Raw genomic sequence first — 21,834 nt, forward strand, 5'->3', positions numbered from 1 at the left:
AAAACGGTTAACATGATAAATTTTATGTTACATACATTTTACCACAATTTAAAAAAATTATTAAAAAATACTAACAATAGGCCAAGCGTGATGGCTCACACCTGTAATCCCAGCACTTTGGGAGGCTGAGACAGGTGGATCAATTGAGCTCAGGAGTTTGAGACCAGCCTGGGTAACACAGTGAGACCCCTGTCTCTACAAAAAAATACAAAAATTAGTTGGGCATGGTGGCACGTGCCTGTAGTCTCAGCTACTTGCAGGGCTGAGGCAGGAGGAGTTCTTGAGCCCAGAAGGTTAAGGCTGCAGTGAGCCATGTTCATGCCACTGCACTTCACTCTGAGTGACAAATTGAGACCTTGTCTCAGAAAGAAAGAAAGAAAGAAAGAAAGAAAGAAAGAAAGAAAGAAAGAAAGAAAGAAAGAAAGAAAGAAAGAAAAAGAGAGAGGAAAGAAAGAGAAAAAGAAAAGAAATAGTAGCAACTGTTATTGTAAGACATCTCCACACACCAGAGAAGTTAATTTTAATTTTAACATGTTAAGAACAGAGAGAAGCCAACATGTCCACCTTAGGCTGACGGTTTGTTTATTTGTGTTGTTGCTGGTAGTCGGGTTTGTTATTTTTAAAGTAGCTTATCCAATACTTCATTAACAATTTCAGTAAGTTATTTCATCTTTCAACATAAATACGCACAAGGATTTCTTCTGGTCAAGACCAAACTAATATTAGTCCATAGTAGGAGCTAATACTATCACATTTACTAAGTATTCTATTTGCAATTTGACTGTAGCCCATAGCCTTTTGTCGGCTAAAGTGAGCTTAATGCTGATCAGGTAAATTAAAAATTATAGTTAATTAAAAGGGCATAAATGTTACCTGACTCAATAAGTCATTTCAATTAGGTCTGTTATCACAAGTTCTTGACACATGTAATTAAGAAAGCTAAGCTACAGGTCACTCTTTGATGATGTTTAAGCTGCAGTTCTGATTATCTTCAAACTGCGATTCCAATCCAGAGTTGTAACTAGCAGTTATTTCTCTCATGGACCAAAAGATCAGAATTTTCCCTGGAAGTTTATCAGAAATGCTTTCAAGTTTCAAAATACTTGCCTGAAGTATCCTATAGTGGCCTTGAAAACGATCTGTCCAAATACCCAGTTTAACCCATGGTTTAAGAAATAAAGAAAGTTGACTTCATTTATTTGTCTTTTTTCCCTCCTAAATGGCAGTTTGATTTGTAAAGCACGGCAATGGAATGAAAATCTTATTTTCAAGGTCAGCTTTAACAAGCATTCAATATCTCAAATGCCATTACACATTTTACTTACTCAAAACACCAAAAAGTCATCAACACGACCCTCCCAAAATCTACTAATGACTTCTGTGAAAGGCACTGAATCTTTGTAATTAGACAAAGTAAGATCATGTATGTCAAAATATAGGCCCTGGTTCACAGAAAATGCTTAATAAATAGCAGTAAATATATATAGATATATATATCATAATAGCACAAGTTGAATGTGCAGGGTCCATGTAAGCTAAATTTATTATCCCATTTTAGCTGAACAGATTTTAGAACATTCAGTGATTCCATTCCATTTTGTAAATTACTGATCTGTACCAATTCAAAAATTCTTCTGAAACTCAATTCCCAGGCATTTGGCTTTTGTTCCTGGGATTTCCACTGCTTTAGAGAATCCAGCTTTAATGGGCTTCTTTCTGAGAAATTCTCCATTGGTTCTGAGAAGTACTTCTATTGAATGCTCCATTTAATTTCATTTTGCAATTAATGAAACTTTCAAGACCTATTTCCCCTCTTTTGAAAAATTTCTAGTTATTTTTTTCTTGCCTTTTGGGTAATTAGGAGCAGCAAACTACTTCCACTAAGAACTAAAGGCAGTAAGTATGGCAACAAAAATACCAAATGTCAAAACAAATGTCATTTTCCGAGTTCTGAAACGCCCATCTCTCAGAATTAAAAACATTCCATGTCACCTCTACGGGTCTTTGGTTGCTAGCTCTCAAATGGATTCACGTTCTGATTTCAGTAAAATTCAACCAAAAGCTTTTAGGGTTTTTAATCTTCCTTGACAAAAATACTTAACCTTCTCCAGCCTGGGAGGTACCGTCTTTTCCTGCCTGTGAAACTCTACCAGTTTGGTAATAAAACAAACCACTAATTTAGTTGTTTATTATTCTTAGCCTAAAGATGTTTGCGTGGCTAGCTGAGTACAAATGTACTGTATCTGCGCTTCTTCTTTTTAAAGTTTTAAACAAATAATCACTGAACAAAATCAGCCAGGAATGATCTTCTGCTCATGGGAACCGTATCCCAACCCAGAACCACACGCAGAAGAGTGCAGGGCCTCGAGGTCTGTTATCTCACCAAATAACTTTCCCTATGTGGTGAAAAACTGGTTAAATCACTTTTCCAGCGATCCCGGAATTTTCAGTTCAATTCTATCCCTCCTAAGTCACCAGGGCCTCTTTGGTAATGGATGAAACCATGAAGTTTGGTTCAGAGGAAGCAAAGACACATTCAAATGTGAGACTCAACTGCTCCCCGAGGATTCTTCCTGCTTCCTAGTTTTAGGTAGATCAAGAGCACTTTTAAAATAAACTTGGCGTTTGTTTCCTATTCCAATGGAAAATCTGACTGGAGACTCCACAGCGACAGCAAAGAACCCTTACTTTTCTGGACAATCAAAATCCGGCTTTTGTCACTCTAACTGCAGCAGGTCAGCACACAGGGTACCAGTGTGTCCCTGAGCGCGCTGACGAATGGATATGGTGCTGGCAGCCTTGGCCTGGGGGCACTTCTGAGGAGCTTTAAAAAATACTAATTCCTGGGTTCCCCTCTCCAGCCCAGATATTTTTATTAAATTGGTCTGAGATGTGGCCTGGGTGGCAGGATTTATAACACTTCCTGGATGATGTTAATGGAAGCCCTTTGAGGTAGAAGAAGGTAGACAGGACTGACTGGGAGCGCATCATCAACCACCTCTGCCTCCCCACTAAGAAGTCTAAGAATACCCCAAAATAGGGGTGCAGTGGTTGAGGAGAAAAGAGAGGAAGTCACGTATACTTTTGCAGGCTTTCATGCAAGGACCCAAGTGTGTGTGCTAAGCACAGTCCCCAAACAGGGGACCCCAGAAGTCCTATTCCTAAGATCTGAATTGCACCAAAGGTAGAGAGACTCTTCCTGGGGTTATTTGAAACAAGGCAGACTTTGCCTGGCATGTATGCGCCAGACCCAGCCTCTGCAGTGCTTATGTGGCAATGCTTAAGCAGCTCCCAGCACTCGACAGGGTACTTTAAACAACTTCATTAGTTTGAAATTTTAAATCCAAAAAAAGCTACCTTCAAATGTATGACTCAAGAGCATAAAATTTCAGAGCAGAGAACACCGCCAGGCTAGTAGGTGAAGCATCTTATTTTTAAATGGCAAGGGGGAACCTTGAGTAAATATTTGGTTGCAATGTATTCCAGGGGTGGGGGGTTTGGACGGAGAGGAACCACTGGTTTTTATTCAAAATCCTCCTCCCGCTGGGCCCAGGTCAGGCCTACACAGCTCTGGCTACAGACTGTGAGAATCCTGGAAGGCTCCAGGGGCTGGCTCCCACCATGCTCCACTCCAGCAAGGGCAGACGCCAGGAAAAAAATGGAAAGGGGGAGTCAGGCATGGAAGGTTTCAGACTTGCTGCAGGCAAAAGGCTGCAGAGCATCCCCAGGGAGCAGAGACCTCACAACCAGGCTCCCTACCTCGCTGTCCTTCAGGGCCGCCCACAGCTGGCTCACCTGCAGCTGCACCACCCAAGAGACAGAGACAGGCTCACACGCAGCAGCTGGAGAGAAGGGGCTGGAATAAGGATTCTTTCTAAACGGAAAAATAAAGATCACTGGGGGAACTTCTCGCCCATCCAGCAGTTTGTGTGTACTCAGCTCCCCTGGCAGGGAATGAGGGCCCGTTGTTCCCTGCTGAAGACCATTGCCCTGGAGATGGGATGGGTGGGAAGAAAAATGTCAGTAGGGGCTCTGTCCTTGCTACCTTCTCTCTCTGGCTGACCTCTGGAATTCTCTTTCTGGCTGACCTCTGAAACTGAGTTCTGGGAACGGAAGGGGACCTTGTGATGCTCCCAACATCTCCCCAAGAATGCACGCCCTTAGTTGGAGCTGTAGCTAGGTAAGGAGTCAGCTGCAAACTGCACCCTCCCCACAATCTTGTGACAGGGGAACATATGCAAATATGAGATGGGTCACTGCCGGGGAGGTACTGGATGGGGGATGTGTTCAGGAGGCTTCTGCCAGCCATGGACTGAACATATGTCAGCCATGTGGTACGGTTCTTACACAAAAACAGAATCCTGAGTTTGGTTTCACAAACAGGCTCATCTCTCATCTCTGAGTGTGTAGCGGGAGAGGGTGCACCGTTTCCATGCAGGGCAAATCTGTCTGCATGGGGCTGGGGGTTCTGCATCTCAGCATGGGTTTGGAAAGTACTAGAAGTGCATCTCACTCAACTTGATTTAGCAAGCATGTCTTTGTGGTCCATGGCTTGTGTTGGCAACTTAAATTTGACAGCACACAAACTATGTGATGGTGATGGAGGGGCAGGTATAGCAACGTCCAGTTTCCCACCTCCAGGTAGTGGCATTCTCCCTGTCCTTTCTGCAACAGCAGCCTGGGAGGTTTTCAATGCCCTTACTTCTCCTGGGTATATCTGAACTATGTCCTGCTCTTATACACATAAAAGGGTCACTTGAGGAGCTTTGGCCATATGGCAGCTGTTTGGAAACAGGCTGCCTGATGCATTGACAACCACAAGAAATCTGGAAGAGTAAAACCTGCCCCATAGCTGGCATGCTACTTGTACATTAAAATGAGAGCATAATGTAAAAGAAATGCCTTAACACTTCCTTCACTAGGTTCAAACTTGCTGTGATTATTTAGGAATTCATTTCATTTAACCAAATATGAATTGAGCACCTTTTACACAGTTGGGGGCAGGGGTGTCCAAACAGACATGAATAATTATGATACAAAACCTATTGTATATATACACAGAAAATGGATGTAGACACAAAATGAATAAACATGAAATGAATGTAGACAAAGGATAGGTTAATTTTCATTGAAGGGGAGGCAGGAGGGTTCAACAAAGGAGTTGAACGTAGCTGGGACGTAAGATTAGGGCAGGAGTAGGGGCGAGGATTGGGAGCAGAAAGTAAGGAGGACAGAGAACTTTAATGGGAGGTAGACTGGAAAGTGGGCTGGTGCCAGCCCTGAAGGTCAGCTGTACACCAAACTCTGTAGCTTGGTATACAATGACCTCTGAGCCAACCTTCAGGGCTGGCATTCTGAAGGTCATTGAAGGGGAGGTAGGAGGATTTGGTTTGCGGCAGTTTCCAGGTGAGAGGCAAGAAGTAAGGAGAGAAGGCAGAGATGGCACAGGATGGTGGGAAGGGAGTCCTTGGTGCCCAATCTCTGCCAGGCAGGGTCCTATCTTGCTACCCCATGATCCCCACATGATGATTGCATGGAGCAGATGTCATTATCCCCATTGCAGATCTGGGTCTCCTGGGTCCCTCCTCAAAATAAGACCCATTCAAAAGACACCTCCTACAACACGGGTCTGAACTACAGGTCTCCCGAGGCCACTATGGAAGGATACTGGCACTCATTCAACAGCAAAACTGTCCCAAAACATCTTCTGTAGACATCTGTCCCTCTCCAGCGTTTTGCTTCTTGTGGCAGTTGTTCTCTTTTCTCCGTCTCTCACTTCTCTCTCTACTACCCCCTTCTTGGATCCCTTTTCTCACAAGAGCTCTAGGCCACCATTTCTTACTCAGAGTGACTTCCTGCTTCTCTGATCTGCCCATCAGTTGCCCCAGTTAGCAAGATGAAGGGTCCTCCTCAGGAACCAACCTCCTTAGAAAGTATTAGAATTCTGTATGCTCCTTATTTTATACTCTGGCTGGGTCACATTCTAACAAGGAAACTGAAGCTTGGAGAAACTAAGTGTTTCTCAAGGTGCTCAACAGAGATGTTTTAGGAAGATAAATGGCATTGACGAAGAGGATGGATGGGCTGGGAACAGGTGCTGAAAGAGAAGGATACCAATCTATGACATTTTGGAAAATACAAAACTCTAGGGATATAGAAGAGAAGAGAAGTTGCCAGGGCTAAGGGTTAGGGGGTGGCGGGCAGTTTGAGTACAAACTCTCATCATGAAATATGTTTGGGGGGTGACTGACCTGTTCTGTATACTGATTAGAGTAGTGGTTACCTCTCTGTTCATTTATCAAAACCCACAAAGCTACACAAAAATGATGAATTTTACTGTAGGTAAACTTAAGAATAATTTTTGAAATGACAGGAAGACTGGCTAGGAGGTTACAGCATATGCAAGAAGGAATGAGAGGTTGAATTAGAGCAGCAGCAGCAGCAGGATAAAAAAATAATAAAATAATTTTAAAAACCTAAAAACCAGAGATCTAGGGAAGAGAGACTTTTAGAAGCAGGATTCAGATATGTGGGGAGTATGAGTGAAGAACTCAGATATGCAGACTTTCAGGGCTGGAAAGAATCTTAAGAGATGATCCAGGAAAGCTCTATCTCACAGATGAGAAAACCAAGTTGAAAATGATTTAAGAGTTTGGGGCTCTGTCTGGGTGGACAGTGATATCATTAAGCAGACAGAACAGACATAGATGAGCAGGCGAGAGGAGGAAGTTGATGAGTTCATTTTGGACATTTTGATTTTGGAACATTTATGTCACCAAGATTTCTTTTTTTAGTTTTTAGGAATTTGAAAACAAAATTGTTGGGTTTTGGCATTGAGTGCAATATCTTTCCACAAATACTGTTTCATTACAGCTACAATGAAAAAGAACTTTGAATACAGATCCCTACATGAAGATGACACATTAGCTTCTTCTGAGTTGTTTTTGTTTTGTGACTTTCCTTCAGCATCACAAAGAGGGAATGACACTGACCCAGCAAAGATTTTAGGCACATTATCCATTAACATACTTGCCACGAACACTACCATATTTTCATGTGTTTATATAACAAAGCTTTTCCTTCCTTATTAAAAACAATACAAATCAAGCTTTGAAAAGCAGTTGTTTTCCATTCTTACTGATGCTAGGCTATAATTCACTGCTGTTTTGTTTTCGTTTTAGAATATTTAGCAAGCAACCAAGGGAAGATGGGCATTGACTTGCTATTAGTCAGTAGGCACAGCCTAGTGAAAGTTTCCATGCTGCACATAGGGCTGAAATCAAGGAGTCTTTTGTCCATATTTCAGAGCAACTTGGAAAATGATTTGGTTCAGCAGTCAAGGGGAGAAAAGAAGTAGAGTTTTCAACACCATCACAGCCATTGGGATATGCAACCAATTTTAAGAATCAGAAACTCAAGTTGCAAACTACCAAGAAAGCATAATGTTCTTGGCAGCAAAGTTTAATCACAGAAGAACAACATAAATATAAAGCTAATAGTATTTACAATAACTGTCTACTGTTTCTTTAAGAGCTGAGTAAAGTGAATGCAAAGATGGTGAGTCTAAGGAAGAATCTAGAATGCTGGCACATTTAGGCAGGGATCTTGTTTTGCTTGCTGATAAACCTACATGCGTAGCACAGTGCCTGGCACATAATAGGCTCTCAATATGTAATTGTTGAATGAATGAATGAATGAAGCTAGGAGAGAAGTGAACAAGTAAAGTAAGAGATAGCAAAGCCACCATACTTCATTCATCCATTCAGCAAATGTTACTGAGCTCTTACTAATGTGAGGCCTTTTTTTAAGGCATGGTGGTGGATATACACAAGCCTAAAATAACAACTTAGAAAACAGCCCCGGGCCTCAACATGTTTATAACCTGGAAGAGGAAGAAGGAAAAGTATAGCAAACATTTGTATATCAAAGTAATATCAAAGAGCATGTGACAAGGCCTGGAAAAATGGCACAAAAAAAAAGAAAAAGGCTGAAAAGGTGGTAAAGATTTAGAAATCAGCGGGGTCACTCCCAACAGGGATACTGTCATCCTGAAGGTGAGATCAGATCTGGGCCTTAAGGGATGGAGAATTCTGATGGGAACAGAATACTCTGGGATGTAAAAACAGCAGGAAAAAGATCCCCAGAACAGAGAAGGCAGGGCGGGTTCAGAGCATAGCAATCTTGCTAAGGAGTAGCAGGGAATGATGAAGAAAATGTCACATAGGTTGCAGTGAAAGATGGAGAGAGGAATTTGAACAGCTGGATAAAGGAAAATGAAGACTTACCTAGGAAAAGAGGAGCCTTAAAATAAAAAAAAGGGTGGCTCATGCCTATAACCCCAGCCCTCGAGGAGGCCAAGGCAGGTGGATCACTTGAGGTCAGGAGTTCAAGACCAGCCTGGCCAACATGGTGAAACCCCGCCTCTACTAAAAATACAAAAATTAGCCAGGCATGGTGGTGCATGCCTGTAATCCTAGCTACTTGAAAGGCTGAGGCAGGAGAATCACTTGAGCCTGGGAGGCGGAGGTTGCAGTGAGCCAAGATGGTCCCACTGTACTCCAGCTGGGTGACAGAGCGAGACTCCACCTCAAGAAGAAAAACAATCAGGGAAGAATTTTAATTAAATCATCACAAAGTATAAGATAAACTGGAGTGCGGAGAAACTGGAGCAGGTGAATGAATTCCCCTAGGGAAGAGTTAAGAAGGTGGTGGCAGCAAGACCAGTGAGGGAGGAATGGAGGGCAGTGAAGGATGCTGGGCTCAAAAACCTGAGCAGAAGCTGGAAGAATGCACCCTAGGTTTTGAGCCTGGGTGATCGGAATAGTGATGAGAGCAGGAAGAGAAACTGTTGAGTCCAAGGAAGGTTTTGGAGGGATGACGATGAGTTTAGTCTTGGATTAAATATTTTGATTATGTGTTTAATTTGAACTGCCAACAGGAAGTCCAGATAGAAAGGGTCATCAGGAAATAGTATATAAGCAGAACTGGAATTTGCAGAAATACCCATTTGAGAATCAGCTGCATACAGACGATACGGAAGCTGTGGGGATGAAAAAGGTCCCGCACAAGAGAATCAGGAAAAAAAAAGTGAGACAATGAGTCAAGACAGACAGTATTAAAGGAACTTCCCAACCATTTGCTCAATGTAAAAATGGAAATGAGGCGAGGTTTGTTCCCTTAGAACATGTTTTTCACAGCAAAAGAGAATTCATTCCTAAAACTGGTTTTTATCTCGAGCTAAAGAAAACACCTTAACACTCCATTCATAGTAAGGACCATCACAGTAATCCTGTGTGACAAAGCTCAGGATAAATGCCATGGCAGGAATTTCACTTGAATGAGATAGCAGGATGGAAGGAAGGAAACAGGAGCCCTTGCTTTGGAGAGATCACCTTTCATGGGCTCAGTTCAGGCTTCACTCAGCAGGAAAAAAATCTGCAAGGCTTAAATAAGTACTTCTATTTGGTAGAAGGCAATGGAAAAGAATAACCTAATTCATTTAATCTGCAGTTGCCACAGATACAAAAACAAGAGAAGATATGAACACTGTGTGGGCCGAATGTTTCTTTCCTACTCCCACCCTCATCCCACTCGGCCCTCTTTCCCAGGTCATTATCAACATATTTCAAAAGCCTCCGAGATGGTGATAAAGCGGCTCACCATCTGTGAACTCCTCCTCCACAGAAGAGTGATAGGTCTCAAGAACAAACCTTCCTACCTTAGCATGGAACAAAAGCCTGACTTCAACACCCGGCACCCACAGCTGTTTTCCACGAATAGAAAGAACACAGCCAACCCAACTGGCTCTTTGAAGGTACGCCATCCTTTTCCTGTGGCCTAATTTATGCTGCAGATTGAAAAGTGCAAAAAAGCAAAAAATGGATAAGGTTTTCACAAGAGTTACTTAGTAGATGCTGATTTTCTTCCAATATCAAATGCTTGAGGCGCATATGATTGGCTTCCATTTCTCTGTATTTGTCGAAAGAATCTCTAAATTGTTCCCCAAATGAATTATTATTTTGACTGGGGACACTGAAGTTCACGGTTATTTTTAAAAACTACATTTTGCAAAAAGTTATCACTCTTCTTACCAAAGATTCACAATACAGTGTTGATGGGAACGTGACCTAGTTGGACAGCTACCTTCAGATATGCCTGATGCCCTTCAACAGGTCATCATTTGCACTAGAAACCAATACTCATCAAGTGTCAACAGGTCCACAGCCCCGTCCTGAATCATTCAGAGGAAGTTAAATACAAGAGTTTGCAATTTAAACCAAAGTGTACCATCCCAATCTGTAAAAGACTCGGGAACACATGAAAGAGTACAAAGATAAAGCAAATAGCCTTGAGTTACTTAGTTTAGTTGGAACTATTTTTGTCACACTATCAACCGAGGCCCTGGAGTACTCATGAGTATTTCTTTTTTTTTTTTTCTCAATAAAGCGGGAAAAAATGCTGAAAGAATTTTTTAGATGTATTCCTTTCTTGTGTTGGAAAGATAATCTTACTGAAACAGGAATGGAATCTAGCTTATGTCTCTCTTTCCTATTCTTAGAATCCTAAACAAAGAAATGAATGTCTACAAGGTGGTTTGGGGAAACAGTTAGAAGATTCCCATGGGAAGCAAGTTAAATTGAGAGTCCAAGAAGACTAGAAACCACTTTATATCAGTGCTGGGCTCACAGGAGAGCTAGGTGATAGGAGAAAGGGCCAGTGATGTGGACAGATCATGATAGTGACAGTGAAGAGAGTCCAGGTAAGACCTAACGAATGACTTAATAGATCAACTGGAGTGGTTTTAGTGGATAGGTTTGCATGTTTCTAACGACACAGAAACCTACAAAATAGTTCACTGGTTTTCAGAAAAATACTGGAAGGATTCATCACAAACTCCTAGCCCCAGCCAACCCCAGTGCAAAAAAAAAAAAAAAAAAAAATCATGCCCAATCCTTCAAAAGATTCATATGTGCAGGGTTATTACTCTAGACATCAGCTTGCCTGGGACCATCCTGGCCTACCCTATTGTCCCAGAATAATGATTAATAACAAGTGTCTCAGCTTGGATGAGACATGTTATGATCATCTTAGATATGAAAGAATGGCAATCTAATAGGTTAATGAATATCAAGACAAAATACCTTTAGAAAGGCTTTCCTTTCTAATTGTGGTTCCAGACTTTATACAGCGCACTCACACGTACCATGCTAGCTGGGATCTGCACTCTGGTAATAGAAAGGGGGGGCTTGCGCACAGAAGGAAATGGGTTCATGTTGGCACCACCCAGGTGCTCAGCAAATGGACAGCAAATAAACCGTCGTTGAAGAAAGGCAATGAAAGAACCCTCTTCACCAATGTCTTGAATGAATGGTTCTTCAGCCATGACACATCGTACTGAGGAATGGCTTAACAGTTCTCCTTGATTCTGGGAGTGAAATAAGTATGGGGGTAAAGAGCATCAGGAAGACTCCCACTGCAGGAAACCCTGTGAAGAAAGTGCTGAAGAAAGCGCTCTCCCACCACGCATTAGGGAAGGAGCTCAGGAGCTCTCTGCCAACTGCAGTAGGCACGGGCCCAGAGACAGAAGATTTCTGTGGTCTGGGCACCCTTCCTGCTGCTGCAGGTGATGAGTAATAATAGCGACGGCTCTCATGTCACAACCTGGTGGCCGCTGGACCCTCACTTTGGTTGGAGGGTGTGTCCCCACAGGGGAAGTTCACAAGAGCCAAGCTGGGCTCTGAGCTTCATGCAACGTGCAAGATGTGCACCAAGACGACCTCACCCCTGGCTGGACTCAGCCCCGGGACAACACTCCCACCCCGCAGAGCCCAGCCAGGTTCTCAGTGGCCCCAAGATAGCACACAAGCAGCTGGGATGGGAAAACAAGGTTTAGTAATATGAAACCAAAATACTCCTCCAGCCTGACTGCACTGCCCAGGATGAAATTCTCTCTAATTCCACTGAACATCTTAAACCAAAACATATTCAAACCCTGAACATCAGCAGCACTCGTACTTCTCTTTTTTGGGGCTGTGAAGGGAGGGTGGAGTGCTGCAACAGAATAACAATTTTCAGCATAGGAAAATCCCCAATATGCAGGTTGTCACCTGCTTGATCTATTTTCCTCCCAACCAAGTTAAGCAATCACCAACAGTTCTCTATGAGATATCTTCCACTGAGATTAAAGGAACGACCAGCAAGAAACAGTGTATGTGTTGTGGTAGTGTGAGTGTGGGTTTTCAAATGGGTACATTCCTAGAAGACGGGACAGCAGGCTCTGAGGAGGCAGCTTTGTGGAAGAGACTGGGGTGTCCAGAGGACCTTGGATATCTGGAATACTCACATATGGTGCTTGTTCTGGGGCTGGGGGGAGACAAGTACATATAGAAATATCATAACCAGTTTTCTCCAGTAAATACACCAAAACAAAGGAAAATGGGATCAAAGTATAGCCAGCAACGTGAAAAGTCCCATTTCAAAATCTAAAGTAAGATTCCAAAATAGAACATGTTTTAACAGAGTATGTAAATTTATGGAAACACTTCCTCACCCGGCTCCTGATCTTTTATAGGTACCTCTCATGCAACAGTTCAGCTTTAAATCTTTTTTAGGAAGCAGCTGGCTACCAGAGATCTTCACTCCTGTGCTTTTTTTCTCTTTTTTTTTTTGCAAATCTAGCATCTCCTTTCCATGTGATGCACTATGCTTGGAGCTGGCAGAGCAAAAGCCTGTCATTCTTAAAACATGAAGAGAATAATTCAGCGCCTTATTTTGTGATCACAGAGAATGCAATTAATACTTTGGCTGCCTTGGTATGTAGACCAAACCTTCTGCCACAGTGTTTTGCAGTGCTGTTGTCCAGGGCAGCTCTGCCAATCTTTTCATTCCAACAGAAACGATGCCAGACTTCTCGGTGCTAAGCAAAGTATAATGAGGCGGAAGAGGTGGCTGGAACCCTCAGTGAGGGAATGTGCTCCTGGGATGATTCTCTACAAAATACAAAGCTATCTCAAGATCCAATAGCTTTTGTATCCCTGCATTTACGAAACCCAATTAAAATAAATTCTTTAAAAAGAAAAAGTAGGCTGGGCAGGGTGGCTCACACCTGTAATCCCTGCACTTTGGGAGGCCGAGGCCGGTAGATCATTTGCGGTCAGGAATTCAAGACTAGCCTGACCAACATGGTGAAACCCTGTCTCTACTAAAAATACAAAAAATTAGCTGGGTGTGGTGGCACACACCTGTAGTTCCAGCTACTCAGGAGGCTGAGGCAGGAGAATCACTTGAACCCGGGAGGCTGAGGTTGCAGTGAGCCAAGATCACACCACTGCACTCCAGCCTGGGCGACAGAGTGAGAATCCGCCTCAAAAGAAAAGAAAAAAAAAAGTAGTTAAATTCTTATGTCATTCATCCATGGTCCAAAAGCTTTTTAATTCATAGAAGGTATAAGACAGGGAAAATCCTTCTAAACCGAGAACATGCAGTGATTTACTAAATCATATGAGCAATGTTGGAGAATTACTATCTGTGTAACACTAGACTCTGAAGATAGGAGATAAGAAATAATTATAATTTGGCTGAGTTCGGTGGCTTACACCTGTAATCCCAGAACTTTGGGAGGCCAAGGTGGGTGGATCACGAGGTCAAGACCAGCCTGGCCAAGACGGTGAAACCCCCATCTCTACTGAAAATACCAAAAAAAAAAAAAAAAATTAGCCAGGCATGGTGGCGAGTGCCTATAGTCCCAGCTACTCAGGAGGCTGGGGCAGAGAACTGCTTGAACCTGGGAGGCAGAGGTTGCAGTGAGCCGAGATTGTGCCACTGCATTCCAGCCTGGGAGACAGAGCGAGACTCCATCTCAAAAAAAGATAATAATAGTAATAATTATTATTATTATTATAATTCATAGAAAGTGTAGGGACAAGGAGAACAGAGAGAACCAAGAAAGACAAGTAGGTATAAATGTTTTTAGATATTATACTACAATATGTATGTATTGGCTATAGTTGCAAAGAAATCCTAGACCCAACTTGTGTCTGTCAAGGGCCAAGTGAATGGTCCAGGCCAATGATCTCATTTGCCATAGACCTCAGTGCCCCCAGCACATCAGACAGCAGAAAGAGCAGCAGTGAGAAGCAAAACCTTTATACCATCATTGATAGCTTATTAATACAATTCTTGCTGATTCTCTGGCCTTCGAAACTCATAGAATCACAAAATGTTAGTGAGGGACCCTGTAACTCAACTTCCCCATTTGCAGATGAAGAAATGAAAGCTCAGAAGAGTATATGACATGCCCAAACAGCAAGTGCCTGGCGGGTCAGAAGAATACAACCCAAGGCCCGTTGCCCTAAATGTCCTCAACAACTACACAGCTCTCACCCATATCCACCTCCTCTTCTTGATCAATTCTCTCTTCTTCCTTAGAACTGCACCTCCCCAACCTTTTTCCTAAGCCATCCCCAATGCTGGGTGACTACCTGGGTTGGATCCCTTGCCTCTTTGGTCCAGGGTACCTGCCTTGTCCTTCCATCCCTCAAGGACTAAACCCAGTCTCAGGATTTTCTGACAGGTGGGATCCACCAACCTTGCTCCACGCTGCCAGGAATTTTCCCTAACAGTAGTTGACTCCCAACAGAAGAAAACGCCCCCTGGTTGTGACCACATGCTTGTCTCACCCTGACCCTGCCCTTCCCCAATGGGCCTCAAAATTCAGCAAGTCTTACCTTTACACTGAATATCCACTATAGGCTTTGATTACTGTGTTTTATTAGCCAGCTGCAGAGCATGTTTGTGTGTATTTACATACACATGCACACAGAAATACTTCTAAGTGGGCTGTGTTCTATCATCTTTGGTACAGAAATAAAAGTAAATATTTCCATGCATAAATTTTAGTGTATTTTTAATAGACACTAGAATAGAAGTCGAAAGTTCTATTTCCAACCTTCCCAACCCAGCTGTAATGGTCCAGCCTGGCAAGAGTTAGAAACTACTGAAGTCCTTTTTTTTGAGACAAGGTCTCACTCTGTCATCCAGGCTGGAGTGGAGTGGCACAATCATGGCTCACTGCAGCCTCAACCTCCCATCTCAGCCTCAAGGGATCCTCCCATCTCAGCCTCCCAAGCAGCTGAAACTACAGGCACACGCCACCATGATTGGCTTAATTGTTTTGTGTTTTGTAGAGGCAGGGTTTTGCTAAGTTGCTCAAGCTAGTCTTGAACACCTGGGCTCAAGTGATCCTCCAGCCTCGGTCTCCCACAGTGCGGGGATTACAGGCATGAGCCACCACGTCCACCCAGAAACTACTGAAGTTTTATTCTTGGCTTAACTCTTAGGGCAGGCTGGCAACAGTGACCTCTTACACTTCAGTATGCTCACCTGTAAAAGTATGGTGAGGCCTTCCCTGCCCAGCTCAGCAGACTGACAATGGGAGCCACAAGAACATGAATATGAATGAACTTTAAAAAGGGCTACACAACTGTAGCTCATTGAAGAAAAAAGGAAAGGTCTTTCTATCCTCCTATATAGTAATATCCAACTATGGGAATAAAAAGGTGACCACATTGTGCAATAAATGGTTAGCAGTCTAGACCAGTGCTGTCCAATAGAAATATAATGGGAACCGGCCCCGCACGGTGGCTCACGCCTGTAATCCCAGCACTTTGGGAGGCCGAGGCGGGCGGACCACGAGTTCAGGAGATTGAGACCATCTTGGTTAACACGGTGAAACCCTGTCTCTACTAAAAATACAAAAAATTTAGCTGGGGATGGTGGCGGGCGCCTGTAGTCCCAGCTGCTTGGGAGGCTGAGGCAGGAGAATGGCATGAACCCTGGAGGCGGAGGTTGCAGTGAGCCAAGATCACGCCACTGCACTCCAGCCTGGGCGACACAGCGAAACTCTGTCTCAAAAAAAAAAGAAAGAAAGAAATATAATGGGAACCACATATGTAATTTTAAATTTTTAGTGGTCACGTTTAGTATATTTTATTAAACTAATACATCCAAAATACTATCACTTCAACACAAAATTCTTATAAAAATTATTGATAAAATATTTTGCATTCATTTATTCATACTACATCTTTGAAATCCAGTAAACCTGGTGTGTATTTTACACTCCAATCGCATCTCAATTCAGATTGGCCACATTACGTGAGCCTGGTAGCCACAGCCACGGCACTGGAGAGGGCAGGAGTAGATTTTAGACACAATGTTATGGTGTCACACCTTGGTGGCACAGAGCAGCCTTTTCTCAGTGCCTAGCACAGTGCCTTTTAGTGACTAAATGCCCAATCAAGATGTGTAGGATGAGTAAATGTTTGGATATATACTGTGATCGCAGAAAATCTGTAGAATAAGAGGAAGAATAAAGGACTTTTTGAAAAAGCATTAGTCTGTGTTGACCTTTTCCTGTTCCCAAAACACAGAAGTCTTGGCTCGCAGACTGCCAAAGGGAAAGCCGCTGCTCATAATGAAATTCCAGGCGTGGCATCGGCTGATGGGGTGAGCCATTCCTTCGCAAGCCACCTTTAACCTGCCTCTCTGTGGACTTGCCTGGCCTCTCAAGTGGCTGCTTCTAAAAGCCCAGGAACACTGCTGAAAACAGATGAGCACGTGTCCCTGGGATCCGTATTCCTGTGAAATCATTTGCATTCTATTAGGCAAATTTGCATAAAATTGGAGCCAAGAGAGCTTGGCTGGGTTTCCAGGCCGGCACTCTCTCTCTGTGCTGCTATGGCCACCAGTATTTATCACCATTTACCAGGGTGGTCGAGCAAGACAGACCCCCAATTAGAATCGGCAGACAAATGGAATCTCTTCCCTATGCTGACATGAAAATCAGTGTCCTCTGGGGTAAATGAGTGAAGGAACTCCGAGCTGCAATCTGGCTGCCGCATCCTTTGTTATGACAAGAGTTTATTTTACACGACTCTGACCTATGGCTTGAAAACACAGCTCAGTCGTGGTTGTAATGATCCAGAACGGCACACACACCTGAATGCCAAGGAGCTCAGATTCTGGCCCATGGGCCATCTGGGAAACCAAACTCACCACCCTTCATTCCAGAAAGCCAAGGGCTTCGACTCCTAAAGCAAGGTTTACCCTCAAGGGCCTCTCCTCCTTTTAGCTAGCTATGTTGATGGCAAGCTCCAGGCAAGGTGCAAATAGCTACCTCTAAATGCACACACTCATCCCTTTCTTTGGGACAAAGGACAAAAGTCAAATCACAGTGATGCCCAACCTACCCATGGCCAAGGGAACAAGGTAAATTACACAACAGAGAAGGACAAAGGTGGAAGGAAAAATACACAGAAAACAATGCAATGCTATTTTATATTTTGTTATTTTTATCTCAACTACCTATCTCTTTCTAGGACTATTCCCCAGAGAAATTCCATTTTCATTACAAAACTAGTTTCTTATGCCAGGGAAAAGGCTGCGGAGCTGTTATCATTGCCATTGTTATTTCTACTAAGGTCATCTCAGATGGCATGTCTACGTGAGATAAATGGTTTCCTAAACAGGCTTCTCTGCATCCTGCCACCACTTAGGTTTGCCCCGAGTCATCACTTCTGGGGCCTTGAAAGCAGCAGCTTCCTGGAAGGCTCAAAAGCTGGGCGGCAGCAGAGCAACAGAATTAAGGGCTCCAAGTACTCCAAAACCGCCTGGGTTCAAATTCCAGCCCAGCCACCCAAACAGCTGTAATGGGTCCCCCTCTGCAAGCCTCAGTGTTCTCATCTGCAAGACAAGGATAAAAACACCACCACCTCCCAGTACTGTTGTAAGAAAGAAATACACGAATAGTGATAGAACGTTTAGAAAGAGTTGGGCAAAGTACAGGCCATGTGAACCTCTGCTTTATCACTGTTGTGAGTATAGCTGGGGTGTCACTTTAACACTTGCTTGTACTGCTTGTCATGTGTACCCAGCTGCCTGTGCATTCATTCATTTAGTCAATATTACTGAGCATCTATTATGTGCTTGCCTTGCGCTAAGCACTGAGTGTTCAGCGATGATCAACTGTGCACAATCTTGTTGATTCTACCTTAGAACACCTTTTCAGGTAGTCCCATCCTGGGAGTTCCTACTGCCCATGCCTTGGGGCAGCTGCCCAGCACCTTCACTTGGGCACCTGACCCCACCTTCCCATCTGGCCTCCTTGCTGCCCTCAGTGCCACCAACACACTGCTACCAGCAGTATTTTCATCAACAAAAAAATCCAGCCATGTCACTTAGTATCCTGCTAGAAACCTTTTACTGGCATTCCACTGCAGGAAAGGTCTAATCAAACTCCTTAGTGGGGCACATAGAGCCTTGGAGAGCGAGCCTCCACTATCTTCCCGCTTCATCCCCTTCCATTCCATCCCCAACTGCCTCTCTTCTGGTCACTCTGGCCTTTTTGCCATTCCCAAGCTTGGCAGGCCCTTCAATTACTCTGCTTATTTGCATATGGTACCCTTTCACATTCTCCAGAGAGCAAGATCTCTTGCTTTTTTTTTTTCTTTTTCTTTTTTTTTTTGAACAAACTCTTATGTATCCTTCAAGCCCAGGCCAAACGGCACCTTCTCTGTGAAACCATCCTTAACTTTCCCAGGAAAAAACTCACTGGACTGTAATAGATCTGTTTGTGTGTCTGTTTCCCCAGGAGACTGTCCCCCCCAAGGCCAGAGATCATGTCCAGAAACCCAGTAGGCACAAAGAATGTGGAACAAACAAATGACCACGTTTTATTGTACAGTGGTTTCAAAATGAAGTCAGGAGGCAGAGTTGAGGCTGCAAAGCAGCTCCTCACAAAAACCACTCTATGCATCCTGCAGTGGGGGAGGTGGCTCTTCTAAATATGTGTACAACTTAATTTATGCACAGACAGAATAATTTAGATGCAGTAAGACAGCAAAAACTCCCCCTAGAAATTACATCCCCGTCCACTTGAGTCAAGTTCCTACTAATTCTCTACTCTAGAAAGGGAGGTAGGAGATGAAAAAGAATGAAAGAAGTCAGCAAACGCCCCTGAAGGTCTCTCTGCCTATTTAACACACACACATTCACAGAGAAGGTGCCATTTGGCCTGGGCTTGAAGGATATGTAAGAGTTTGTTCAAAAAAAAAGAGAAAAAAACAAAAAAGAAAGAGATCTTGTGCTCCTTCTCTCTCTCTCTCTGTGTGTGTGTGTGTGTGTGTGTGTGTATTTTACTTTGATATTGCTGGGATTCCTCTCTTTCACTACAGTCTGGACTGAATCATTTCACACAAGTAAATTTTTCAGATGACTGAAGCCTAAACTTTTAAAAAATTTTAACCATTTGGAATGGAGATATTTCTGTAACTTACTACTCACTTTCCCTGAACTCTTTGACTCTTCCTACAGAAAATAACTCTGTCTTGATGACTCAGTGGCATCATTAGGAATCACTAAGATTGTCCTGTGCTACGATCCAGCGAGAACTCCAGGAGCCGTAGAGATCTTTGTGACTGCCTGCCCCACGCAGAAGAGCCTCAGAGACTCCTGAGCTGGTTTTAAGAGCATTTTTGTCTTCTTCCTTGCTGTCAGACTCTAAAATAATTCTTTGAATAATTTACAGGCCTCCATTACCTCCTCTGTCAGGTCAATTCTAATTTAATATATTTGCTGTTTCTATTGGCTGGGTGGGGAGTGGAAATGACAACCAATTTTTTGAGAAAATGGACTTTTAAAAAAGCAAATGGTATGGAATATTATTCAGCCTTAAAAAGGAATGAAATTCTGATGCATGCCATGACATGGGTGAACTCTGAAAATATGTTAGATAAAACAAGCTAGACACAAAAGGACAAATATTGTCTGATTCCACTTATGGGAAGAATCAAATTCTTCCTCGAAGAGTCAAATTTATAGAGACAGAAAATAGAATAGTGGCTACCTAGGACTGGGGAGAAAAAGAAACAGGGAGTTATAGTTTAATGGGTAGAGTTTCCATTTGGAATGATGAACAAGTTCTGGAAACAGATGTCAGTAATGGCTTACATAATAATGGTTTATGTAACAAAGTAAATGTGCTGAAAGCCACTGAACTATACATTTAAAATTGGTGGAAAACGTAAATTTTATGTATATCTTAACTCACACACACACCACATACATACATACGTATGCATATTTATACAGATATATTTTTACATGAACTGGTTGAGAAGGTTGGCTGAGCTCTTATGAGCAATGGGTATGAACTTTAGCATATGTACTTCATGACATCCCTCTGCACAGAAGGGGCTGAAATGACTTCCTAGTTCCTAGTTGTGATTCACACCGTCATCAAGAAACAATGATCTCCGAAGGCGCTAATGTATTTTGCAATCATAAAGATCTTTTACTCACAAATTACAGTACTGGCGACAAACAGGCACTCCGAGCTTCTTGGAGAACATTATGAATAATCCCAAAGAGAACTGAGCTCCAGAAGGGGCGGGGCTTTGTCCTTTTCACACGGGAAACCAGTGCGCCTGTCCACGGCACAGAATCCAAATCTACTCTTCCCTTCTCCTGAGATCAAACTCTAGAACTAAGAGGTCACATGTAAAGCTGTTAAAAGAACAAAAATACTGATTATCTGAATTCATTAGGATCTTAAGGATATGTAAAAACTACATAATGCAGTCTTTTAAATATTACAATGTTGGGTTATGTCTTATAAATGAAATATTTTAGGTAATATTGGACGAATATTTTTAAAGTAGTCTGGTCTATAAAAGAGAGGAGGCCAGGTGTGGTGGCTCACGCCTGTAATCCCAGCACTTTGGGAGGGAGGCCGAGGCAGGTGGATCATCTGAGGTCAGGAGTTCGAGACCAGCCTGGCCAACATGATGAAAACCAGTCTCTACTAAAAAAAATACAAAAAAATGAGCTAGGCGTGCTGGCAGGCGCCTGTAATCCCAGCTACTCGGGAGGCTGAGGTTGCAGTGAGCCGGGACTGCACCACTGCACTCCAGCCTGGGCAACAAGAGCAAAACTCCTTCTCAAAAAAAAAAAAAAGAGAGAGAAAGAGAGAAAGAGAGAGAGGAAATAGTTGGTGGCTTGTTCAGTTCAACTAACACAGAGCCTGGGGTTTGGGGAGCCTGATGGTGAACTCTGTCTTGCTTAATGAAAGGTCACTATTGTCCCTCTGCCCGAATAATAATTTCCCTTCCTTTTTGGCTTCCTTATGAAATACCACGAAGCTCTACTCTAAAAAGTCATAACATGTTGTGCCCAGGGAAGATGTTGAATTGAAATTTTTTAATATGTGCTTTATTAAACAAACCACTTAAAACATTATTTTTGTCCTTCTGAAGAGTGACTTATTCTGCACATGAATTCAGAGTGAGTTAAATATTCAACCTATATATGTTTCATAACACAAGAGATATATAAATAAATGAGAAAGTAGGGGGGAAAAAGAGGTTTAGTAAGGATGCAGTAAGAGTTTCCTATCTTGTCAGAATTTCGCGTTTAAGTTTCTTTTAAGAAAGTAGTTTCCTGGCCCATGCTGAAACTCCCTTAGCCCTGCAAATAACACAAGGGCATCCTGTTCAAATGTTATTATGGAAACACTGTGCTGTTCTGGGCCAAATGTATCCAAATTAAACTGAGGGGGATGGAAATAACTCTCCCTTGATACGCCCTGGTTGCTGAAGGTGGGTTTGTTTTTAAGTAGAATAAAATGTACAGCTGAATATAAAAACAGATACATCCTCATCTTGTAAACCTGAGTGACATGTCATTCCACCTCTGGACTCTAGAAGAAAAAAAACACTAAGGTCATGCCTAAAATAAAAAGAGTGAAGGGAAAAGGATCATACCAGAGGTAAAACCGCA

The 21,834-nt window shown here is 42.8% G+C and overlaps 1 protein-coding gene across 5 annotated transcripts in view; it reads right to left on the reverse strand.

Moving 5' to 3' along the window:
• The window catches only part of BCL2 (BCL2 apoptosis regulator), a 196,745-nt gene that overhangs the window by 157,958 nt on the left and 16,953 nt on the right, over window positions 1-21,834 (reverse strand). For 2 of the 5 annotated variants that reach the window (XM_047437734.1, NM_001438935.1), the window contains one exon: window positions 20,328-20,562. The exons of 2 other annotated variants lie outside the window; for them this stretch is intronic. In XM_047437734.1, coding sequence (XP_047293690.1) covers window positions 20,551-20,562 — 12 coding nt within the window. In that variant the 3' untranslated portion in view covers window positions 20,328-20,550. One more of the 5 variants, XM_011526135.4, reaches the window with a different exon arrangement.

Source organism: Homo sapiens, chromosome 18, assembly GCF_000001405.40.
Source record: "Homo sapiens chromosome 18, GRCh38.p14 Primary Assembly".
Lineage (NCBI taxonomy): Eukaryota > Metazoa > Chordata > Mammalia > Primates > Hominidae > Homo > Homo sapiens.